We start from the raw sequence: 9,909 nt of genomic DNA on the forward strand, positions 1-9,909 counted from the left end.
AAAGGTGTGGAAATGTGGAAATGCATGGCCTGTTAAAGCTGCCTTAAGAAAATATGTTGCCTGGGGCTGGGCGCGGTGGCTCATGCCTGTAATCCCAGCATTTTGGGAGGCCGAGGCGGGCGGATCACTTGAGGTCGGAGTTGGAGATCAGCCTGGCTAACTAACATGGCTAAACCCTTCTCTACTGAAAATACAAAAATTAGCCGGGCGTGGTGGCATGCGCCTGTAATCCTAGCTATTCTGGAGGCTGAGGCAGGAGAATCGCTTGAACCTGGGAGGCGGAGGTTGCAGTGAGCCGAGATCGCGCCTTTGCACTCCAGCCTGGAAGACAAAACAAAACTCCGTCTCAAAAAAAAAAAAAAAAAAGAAAGAAAGAAAGAATGTTGGCCTGGAAAGTACAGTTTATGTTGGGGGATGCTGGTTAGGGTGGAGAATAGGGGCAAGATCGGGCAGGGTTGTGTTCCATAAAAAGAGGTTAAACTTGATCCTAGAGACAGCATAGAGACACCTCATTAGCTTTGTTTTTAGAAACCTTACACTGGGAATCTCTTAGGATAAGAGTATAGCAAAGTCACCATATATAGGATCCAAAGCTTTCCTTTATAACAGTAACCACCAGTTAGAAAATATGGGGAAAAAAGAATGGAAAAAAAAATGTTTTTCACTTACATTGACAACAAAAGCTTAAAGTACCTTGGAATAAAGTTAACAAGAAATATATAGAAAAAACTATAAATGCTTACTGCTGGACAAAAAATTCAAAAAGCCTAGCATAAATGAAGAGGTACCATATTCCCAAATGGTCGGTCAATCTTCATTCTGTAAAGATGTCAGTTTCCCCAAATAAGCATAAATTCACTGCAATTTCCATAAGAGGCAGTTTTTTGTTTTTGTTTTTCCTCAGCCATTACTGTCTCTGGGACAGTATTTTTTTTTTTTTTGAAACTTCACAAAATGATTCTAAAGTTCATTTGGAGGAGTCAGTGTGTTGATAGATTTGCATTTGGTGCTATAATAAAGGTACAGTAAAGTGCTATAAGCAGTATGGTACTGGCACAGGAAGAGATGACTAGATTAATGCAACAAAATAGTCCTGCCCCCCTATTATGAGAACTTGGTATATGCTAAACTGTTGTGTCACATTAGGGAAGAAAGAATGGGTTTAACAAATTATGTTGAAACAATTGACAGTCATGTGGAGAAAAGTGACTCACTCAGTATTTAAAAATACATTCCAGATAGATTAAAAATCCAAGCCTTAAAAAAAGTATAAAGTTTTGAGAAGAATATATACAAGATTATTTTTATAATTTTGGGGTAGGGAATGTTCTTCTGAGGCTGTCAGAAGCCGTAAAAGTACAGTTGGCAGGTTTGCCTATTTAAAAATGAAAAGCTGTAAGACAAAAGATGTTGTAAACAAGGTTAAAACAGAGATGACAAATTGGGATGATATTTGTAGCTCATGTAAGTGATGAAGATTAGGAACTATAATATATATTTGTATGTTTAATGAAGTACTATGTATGTGTCACACCTTTTTTTTTGAGATGGAGTTTTGCCCTTGTTGCCCAGGCTGGAGTGCAGTGGCTTGATCTCGGCTCACTGCAACCTCCACCTCCCGGGTTCAAGAGATCCTCCTGCCACAGCCTCCCAAGTAGCTGGGACTACAGGTGCCTACCACCACACCTGGCTGATTTTTGTGTTTTTAATAGAGACGGGGTTTCACCATGTTGGCCAGGCTGGTCTCGAACTCCTGACCTCAAGTGATCCACCTGCCTCGGCCTCCCAAAGTGCTGGGATTACAGGCATGACCCACCGCACCTGGCCTTATGAGACCCTTTTGATTGCCTGCGCTGGTGCTGTAGATGGTAAGCTCCTGGAAGGCAGGCATTGTTTCTGTCTTGTCTCTGCACTCCCAGCTTTTTGCAAATTGCTTGTTACTTGGTGCCCAGTATCTGTTGCATGAACAGATGGATTCATGATTGAATGTGGAGGATGGATGAGAGTGAGGCTAGAGGGCTGGGCACCAGTCAGGAGGCAGCAGCCTTAGTTATTAGTGAGCAGAGAAGATAGAACACAGATTTGACAGATCTGGAGAAGATCAAATGAACAGACTGATTGGCGAAAGTCGGGGGCCAGGGGTGGGCAGTGTGTAAGAGATCTCTCAGCTTTATGATTTGGTAGGCCTGGCTGCTGCTGCCATTCCCTGAGCCAAGGAGCACAGGAGGAAATGAAGGTTTCGGGGAAAGCCCTTGGGGAAGGCCTGCTTGGTTTTGGACTAGATGTGCTGAGTTTCCAGGCTTCCGGGATGTCCAGGGGGACAAAGCCAGCATGAAGCTCTCGGACCCACTGGAGGGAAGTCGGTCTGCTGCAGGGAGTAGGTTTCCTGAATCAGTGTTGGCTCCATGCTTGGCTAAACATGCATGTAGCTGCAGTGAACATCGCAGCAAGACTGAGGGACAGCTTGTGCTGTAGAAGGTCATTGGGAGGAGGCTGGCTGGGAACAATGGAAGGGAAATCTATTGGTGGGGGAGTGTGAGTGTGTGTGTGTGTTTATGATTGTTTATATGATTGCTTGTGTCCGTTCCCTACTTTCTGGTAACTTGAGGTGTCAGAACTGCAATGTCTAAGCCTTTAGATTCTTCCGAAGCTGTGGCCTGGTCTTGGGACCTTTGTTGACCAGGGTTCTACCTCCCCCACCCTCCAGCTCAGCTCCTCGTGACTTGGAGGCAGCAGAGAGTTTGGCTGGTCTCCCAGGACAGCCGCCTCCCAGGGCCAGGAGTGGCGGGAGGGACCTCAGATGAGAGAAGAGCCAAGCCGGTGGTTTCTGGAGGTTCAGCACATCCTGGAGCAGGAGGGGGCGGTGGTGGGGGTTGCGGTGGAGAGTTGCTGTCCCACCGTGACTCAGCACTCTGCTAGGCTGGGCTTGGGCTCAAAAAGTGCTTTGTCATGGAGGAGAAGAGCAGTCATAAGACCTGGAGGGCTGTGGCTTCACTGTGGAGGGAGGGAGGGAGGGAGGGAGGGAGGGAGGGAGAGTGTCCCCCTCCCCCCATTTCCTAATGGGACAAAGTCCAGAGGCCGGACTGGGAACAAAGGGGTCTGAGATCACTCAGGGGGGCCTCTGATGGTGTTTTTGCTGGCAAGCCTAGGTGTCACTTTTCCTACCTATCCCTCGCTCAGTGCCTTCCCGCCGCATGGGGAATTCTCAATAGATGTTGGGTCCCTTTCTCTTCTAGGGATTGTTATTGTGTAGTCACAATTTAGGATCCACAGCTAGGAAATCATAGACCCCCCACAAATTTTAAGGCTTTGGAAAGGACGTTAGAGCTTCCAAATCATCATGTTTTACAGATAAGGTGAGACCCAAAAAAGGTTAGGCTTGCCCAAAGCCGTAGAGTCACTGGCTGAAACACAAGCTGAAAACTAGGACAGGGCACATGATGGAACCCCGCATGGCCATTAAATACAGTAAGTGTGTTTAATAAGTGTGTTGCTGGAATGTGTGTGTGCAGGAATGCTATGTGAAAAGGCCAGACCCCAAACCGTTCCACAGGCTGATTGCAACAAAGAAAAACCTCAGGGCTGGAGACATAGATGAGGATTGGGAGAGAATGGGTTACGTGGTATTTTAACTGAAGAGCTGATGTTTTAAATGTCTGGGATTTCCCCTGAAGTGAAGTGAAGTAAAGCAGGAAATTCGAGTTTTGAAATTCAGACCAAAGGAAAAACAATACTAAATCAGTATTTGGGTACATTTCTGGATGATGCAATCATACTCACAGAGCTTGTCCTGAAATCATTTCTTGAAAACCCTTGAGGCCATGTAAACTCAGAGTCTAGGTACTTGGAATCCCCCGCTTCCAGAAGGTTAACGAGAGCCACAGCCTGCGATGTTTGAGGACAACTGTGAATGGAAGGCAAGGCCCATTTTTGAATGCTAACTCAGGCCTCACTGCACTCCAGACTTCTGCCAGAGACCCTATCACATGCCCTAGCTATGTGTTTACCTCCTGGCTGGACTTTGAAGTTTTAAGCTGTGTCCCCAACCCTGGCACAGCCCGGGGGTCCCTCCAGTTGTAGCAGTTTGCAGCTCTGTACCTCTTCTCTGGAATGGTCATGCCCAGCAGAGCATCGGCTCTCTACCTTTGGACTAGCGGCTCCTGGAGATCAAGGGTCTTGCCTTTAACAGTCCCCAGCTGTATCCTTCCCAGTGAGCCCCTGGGATATGCACACAGTGAAGAGGCCACGTGGCCTCTCTGAACTTTGATTCCTGTATTATTTATGGTATCTGAAGCCAGCCCTCTCCCATGCTACCTTGAGTACCCGCTCTGGGCGCCCTCTTTACCACAGTTCCCGTTGCACCCCGTCAGCTGGGACCCAGCCACATGGCATCCCCACATCACCCCATCCAGGCTCAGCTGTGCTCACCCTGGCCAAATCAGGGGAGGCCCAGCTCAGCGCAGGTGACAGGTGGGAGCCATGGCTAGCAGCCTTGGGAGGAGGATGAAAAAACAGAAAAATGTCTTGCAAGTCTGGGCAGGGACCTCAGCAGCCAGAGGCCTTGGCAGCCAGGGGCTGGGAGTGCCTCCTCATGGAAATGGGAACTATGCCTCAGGAGTTTTCACTGTGTAGACACTCACTATGGTGGAGGGGAACGATGGCTGCACAGCACAGTCCCTTGAGCACCGGGTCGGAGGGAGTAGGGATCAAGAGGATCTGAGAGATCAGCAGCCAGGGACTAACCCAGCTGGGAGGCAGCAGAATGAAGCAGCCGGAAAGAGCGGCTAGGGCTTTCCTGCCCCCAGAGAAGGGGCACAATCCAGGAGAGCTAGTGAGTCTTGCTGGGCCAGCAGATGGGGCCTCGGTCAGCAGAGGGAAATCCTGAGTGTCCTATGAGAGGGTCAGGACCCCAAAGATCTCACCCTCAGCATGGATGAGGCCTCCCTCCAGCCTGTGGCTGTTCCCACTGTCCCAGGCTCCCTATTTCCTGCCTCTACCACCTCCTGCAGTCCCACTCTCTCTAATTTGTCTCTTTTCTGTCTGTCCCAGCATTATGAAATACAAAGATAAGCACTTTGTGATTACAACTCCTTAAAGGAGGCCGGTACAGTGGCTCACACCTGTAATCCCAGTACTTTGGAGGCCGAGGTGGGTTGATTGCTTGAGCCCAGGAGTTTGAGACCAGCCTGGGTGACATAGCAAGTCCCTCTCTCTCCAAAAAAAACACAAAAATTAGCCGGGTATGATGGCACAGGCCTGTAGTCCCAGCTATTCAGGAGGCTGAGGGAGGAGGATTGCTTGAGCCCAGGAGTTTGAGACCAGCCTGGGTGACATAGCAAGTCCCTCTCTCTCCAAAAAAAAAACACAAAAATTAGCCAGGTATGATGGCACAGGCCTGTAGTCCCAGCTATTCAGGAGGCTGAGGGAGGAGGATTGCTTGAGCCCAGGAGTTTGAGACCAGCCTGGGTGACATAGCAAGTCCCTCTCTCTCCAAAAAAAAACACAAAAATTAGCCGGGTATGATGGCACAGGCCTGTAGTCCCAGCTATTCAGGAGGCTGAGGGAAGAGGATTGCTTGAGCCCAGGAGTTTGAGACCAGCCTGGGTGACATAGCAAGTCCCTCTCTCTCCAAAAAAAAAAAAACACAAAAATTAGCCGGGTATGATGGCACAGGCCTGTAGTCCCAGCTATTCAGGAGGCTGAGGGAGGAGGATTGCTTGAGCCCAGGAATTCGAAGCTGCAGTCAGCAATGATTGTGCCACTGCACTCCAGCCTGGGCGACAGAGCCAAACCTTGTCTCTAAAAAAAATAAAAAATAAAATAAAACTCCTTAAGTGCTCTCCACTGCCCTTGGGATATAATTGTAATTCCAGGGTATGGCCCAGCCACTCACCCCCAGGCTTCTCTCTAGCCCTCCAGGGTTCCCCTCACACCTTGGGACTTGGCACAGCTGTTTGATCTGCCCAGACGGCCTGCCCCTCACTCTTCTGCATGAAAAAGTACCCAGCCTTCAACACCGGGCTCAAATATGCTCCCAAAGCTCCCTGCACTGCCCCGCAGAGCTGAGAATTTCCATTCTTTGTGCCCTCCAGCACTCCGAGCGCGTGGTCTCCACTGCCACGCAGTATTACAGTGACCTGCTCCATACCCACCTCCCCCACAGCAAGGGAACCTCTGCCCTGTTTATCTTGGCCATGCCTTTGCCTTTCCCACCTCAGCACCTGGCAAAGTACTCACAGTTTCACAGGCTCCCAGACTACCGACAAATATGGGCTGGATTTAACTTGGACTTAGCTCTTAGCCCAACTCTTATTCATCTTTCCTGTTGCTGAGCGTTAGGCTGCCCCACCACTACCCCGTGCCTCATAGGTTTTTTGTTTTTTTGACAGTCTTGCTGTGTTACCTAGGCTGGAGTGCAGTGGGGCCATCTCAGCTCACTACAACCTCTGCCTCCCGGGTTCAAGTGATTCTCCTACCTCAGCCTCCTGAGTAACTGGGATTACAGGCATGCACCACCATGCCCAGCGAATTGTTGTATTTTTAGTAGAACAGGGTTTTGCCATTTTGCTCATGCTGGTCTCGAAGTGCGGCCTCAAACAATCCGCCCACCTCAGCCTCCCAAAATGCTGGCGTGAGCCACTGGGCCCGGCCAGGTTTGGTTTTTCCATCTTTACTTAATTAAGACTACCAGCTGTTTCTACCTCCCGTATGGAAGATGCTGGGAATTGGTGAGTCTTTCTGGGGTTTCAGGATTATTCCTAGGCAGAGACCTGAAGACACTGTGAGGCAGTCGGGGCTGGGACCAGCGCGGCCATGGGGATGGAGATGTCACAGTCACAGGCTCTGTGGCTCTGAGGACCAATTCCTGTGGCTTGCTTTTGTGGCCACAGAGTGTTTCCTCAACTGGAGGAATCTGTGGGCTGTCACTAGGGACCAATGTGGGAGGAAAGCAAGAAGGGTTGGTATAAAAATCAGCTTGCTACTACAAAACAATGTCCTATCCTTCCTGGCGGTGGGCCAGTGCATTGTTGGAGTTTTCATTCCATAAAATAACAGATTTTTACATAAAGTAAGTTGACACCTTCGGGGCTGACACTGACAGCACCTCTGAGTAGGTAGGGCAGGTAGCCCGTGCTGGCAGCAGAGGTTTCCTTTATCCAGTGAGGAAACTGGAAGTCAGAGAGGTTAAGAGACGGCCTTGCCTAAGATTGCGCAGCTGGTAAGAGACAGGGCTCTGACCAGAATCTGGACTCTGATTGTGGTGCAATTTTCTGAATCTGGTGCCCTGACACAGCCATGACGGCAATTCTTAAACTCAGCACATACATTACCCTTAATCTCGAAGCATGCAGGAAGAAGAGCTCCAAGATTCCACTTGCTGAGGCTTCTGAAATATCCCTGCAGGTGGAGAGCACTTCCTGCAGCCCTGAATCCTGAAGGCGAGCCAGCACCCAACTTCGGTGGGCTTCAAGCCACTGGAGTTGGCCGAGGGTGCTTTCAAAGTAGTTGCTGTGATTCTACCAGCAGCAAAGCTGTCACGGGTGATCTTTGAAATTAATGGGCTGATTTGATTAGTAACTGAAGTCTGTTTGCTTGGTGGGAGTTTTGTGGTTCTTTGGATGGCACTCTTGGGGATCTCGTGGCAGGGCTTAGCGAATTGGACTTGGTCTTGAGTTATCTGGACTTGGTGCTAATGGCTGGCAGGCCCAGGAGATGCCTGGGCAGCCCGTAGACTGGGGCTATCCAGTGGCATTCTGAGCAGGGCAGTGGGTCTCGGCCCACATGGGAGAGCTAAGGGTATTTCTGGAGCATGTAATTCCCAGGGACCATGGCTGGCTCCTCAGACCCCCATTACTCCCACTGTGCTTGGCTGGTCCTCCCAGGGGCTGGGGGCCTCTGCTCAGCCACAAGACACACCATATTAGGGAGTGGTGGGAGATGCTTCCCTGAGGGTCTCATGGTACCTCCTTCGTATGTAGGATCTGAGAACCATATAAACTTGCCTAAAAGAGTCTCGGGGCCTCTGGAGCTGAAGCTGTTCACATGCCGGGAAGCATAGGATGACCCACCTCCAAACTGGGGCAACACCAGCTCCTCCCCTGGGGCCTTAGCCCACCCTTGGTTTTCTGTGCGGAGGGCTCACCCACCTTTCTGACAAAGCTTCTGATGGCTCAGAAGCCAGTTGGCCTGAGTCAGAGCCAGGAGAGCCTTCCCATGGGAAGGGGCTTTACATGCTATTACCTTTCTCATCTGTTTCCAGCTGCACGGATGATATGCTAACCCCCTGTCAAACATCCCTGCCTTTTGTAATTCTTTGAAAGCATTAGTTGGAACCAAGTGGCTCTCGTTTTTCCCCACTATTTACTCACCTATCCAGCTGCCCTTTCAATATCGTGGGTGTGTATGTGGGTGGACAGGGGTGTGTATGTGTAGTGGCAGGAATCCGGATGTTTTGCTTTTTGCTTTTTTCTGGAATTGATTTCTCCAGATCCATACCTACTCCCCAATATCCACCTGTCTTCTGGACACTAGATCCAGATTTTCCTCTGGGGAACTATTTCCCTCCCTCCAACCTCTGTGATGTGCTATAATTGGAACTGCCTCCATCCCTAGATTCAGGGATAGACATGTTTTGTTTTACTTGCAACAGATTTTTCAGTCAACTTACCTTTTATATCAGGGGTCCCCAACCCCTGGTCCATAGACTGGTACCGAAGGTGCATAGACTGTGCACCTCCAGGCTGCATGGCAGGAGGTGAGCAGTGGGTGAATGAACATTACCTCCAAGCTCTGCCTGCTGGTTATCCCAGCTCTGCCTCCTGTCAGATCAGCAGTGGCATTAGCTTCTCATAGGAGTGTGAACCCTACGGTGAACTGCACGTGACAGGGATCTAGGTTGTGCGCTCCTTATGAGAACCTAACTAATGCCTGATGATCTGAGGTGGAACAGTTTCATCCTGAAACCATCTCCCTCCCCCACCCCTTGTCCATGGAAAAAATTGTCTTCCACAAAACCGGTGCCTGGTGTCAAAAAGGCTGGGGACCACTGTTTTACATCATCTAAATGGCAACTGATTCCTGCATGGGTCTCAGAATTTTCAAGACAGGAAGGAGCCTTTGAGACTATCTAATACTTTCAATCACTCAACTAATGTTTTTATTTTGTTATTATTTTTTTAAAAATAGAGACAGGGTCTCAACTCTGTCACCGAGGCTGGAGTGCAGTAGCACGATCGTAGCTCACTGCAGCCACCAACTCCTGGGCTCAAGTAGTCCTCCCACCTCAGCCTCCTGAGTAGCTGGGATTACAGGTGCATGCCACTACACCTGGCTAATTAGAGCAATTTTTGATGGGGTCTCACTATATTGCCCAGGCTGGTCCCAAACTCCTGACCTCCAAAGATCCTCCTGCCTCAGCCTCCCCAAAGCTTGGGATTACAGGCCTGAGCCACTGCACTTGGCTTCAAACATTTTTAAATGCCAGCTCTATGCCAGTCCTTGGGTTAGATGAAGAAAATGATATCTGGGGCTGGGGATTTGGGGTGACCAGATCAGGGTTACAGGGAAAGTCGGTGGCTGAGCCAAGGACCAAAACCTAGGCCTTCTGACTCCCACACCAGCCTTCTTTCCTCATGCTTCTCTGCTTCCTGAGATTAAATTCTTCTGGCAGTGCTCAAGTACGGTTATGTGATTATGAAAAAACACAGGGAACTCTGTGCCAAGCAGCTATCATTGGTTTCCTGGGCAGGGTTGCAGAGAAAGAGGAGAAGGACAAAGGAACTTCTCCCACCCCTGTGTGCCAGCCTCAGCTCTCTGGCGGGGGGCAAAACAGGCTCGTGGGGCTGCCTGAGGGCTTGTCCTCTGGTGTCCCTCCTCTGGGCCCCAACAGTCCTCTGCTTCATCCACACC

General features: G+C 49.6%; 7 annotated features.

Annotated features, from left to right (window-relative positions):
• Positions 2,464 to 3,223: a transcriptional cis regulatory region, noted in NCBI's record as "candidate enhancer chr11.2761 targeted for multiplex CRISPR interference". NCBI's record gives its function as "positively regulates FTH1 gene expression with high confidence in K562 cells {active_cell/tissue: K562}" and the evidence as "EXISTENCE:mutant phenotype evidence [ECO:0000015][PMID:30612741]".
• Positions 2,469 to 2,980: a transcriptional cis regulatory region, noted in NCBI's record as "TAD5.SE3.HS4 sgRNA1-sgRNA4 range targeted for Mosaic-seq CRISPR perturbation". NCBI's record gives its function as "positively regulates FTH1 gene expression in K562 erythroleukemia cells {active_cell/tissue: K562}" and the evidence as "EXISTENCE:mutant phenotype evidence [ECO:0000015][PMID:28416141]".
• Positions 2,735 to 3,029: an enhancer, noted in NCBI's record as "tiled region #1015; HepG2 Activating DNase unmatched - State 1:Tss, and K562 Activating DNase unmatched - State 5:Enh". NCBI's record gives its function as "activates a minimal TATA promoter and a strong SV40 promoter by Sharpr-MPRA in HepG2 and K562 cells {active_cell/tissue: HepG2 | K562}" and the evidence as "EXISTENCE:reporter gene assay evidence [ECO:0000049][PMID:27701403]".
• Positions 2,833 to 2,977: an enhancer, noted in NCBI's record as "145 bp enhancer 20 fragment used in the MPRA reporter construct; PK_construct_3500". NCBI's record gives its function as "activates an SV40 promoter by MPRA in HepG2 and K562 cells {active_cell/tissue: HepG2 | K562}" and the evidence as "EXISTENCE:reporter gene assay evidence [ECO:0000049][PMID:23512712]".
• Positions 2,900 to 2,910: a transcriptional cis regulatory region, noted in NCBI's record as "NFE2L2 motif; MPRA enhancer 20 activity is reduced when this motif is scrambled". NCBI's record gives its function as "necessary for full MPRA enhancer 20 activity {active_cell/tissue: HepG2 | K562}" and the evidence as "EXISTENCE:site-directed mutagenesis evidence [ECO:0005528][PMID:23512712]".
• Positions 3,641 to 3,820: an enhancer, noted in NCBI's record as "active region_4809". NCBI's record gives its function as "activates an Ori minimal core promoter by ATAC-STARR-seq in GM12878 lymphoblastoid cells {active_cell/tissue: GM12878}" and the evidence as "EXISTENCE:reporter gene assay evidence [ECO:0000049][PMID:35858748]".
• Positions 9,239 to 9,455: a silencer, noted in NCBI's record as "fragment chr11:61745853-61746069 (GRCh37/hg19 assembly coordinates)". NCBI's record gives its function as "represses an EF-1alpha promoter that drives an FKBP-Casp9 reporter gene in an ReSE screen in K562 erythroleukemia cells {active_cell/tissue: K562}" and the evidence as "EXISTENCE:reporter gene assay evidence [ECO:0000049][PMID:32094911]".

This window comes from Homo sapiens, chromosome 11 (genome assembly GCF_000001405.40).
Source record: "Homo sapiens chromosome 11, GRCh38.p14 Primary Assembly".
Lineage (NCBI taxonomy): Eukaryota > Metazoa > Chordata > Mammalia > Primates > Hominidae > Homo > Homo sapiens.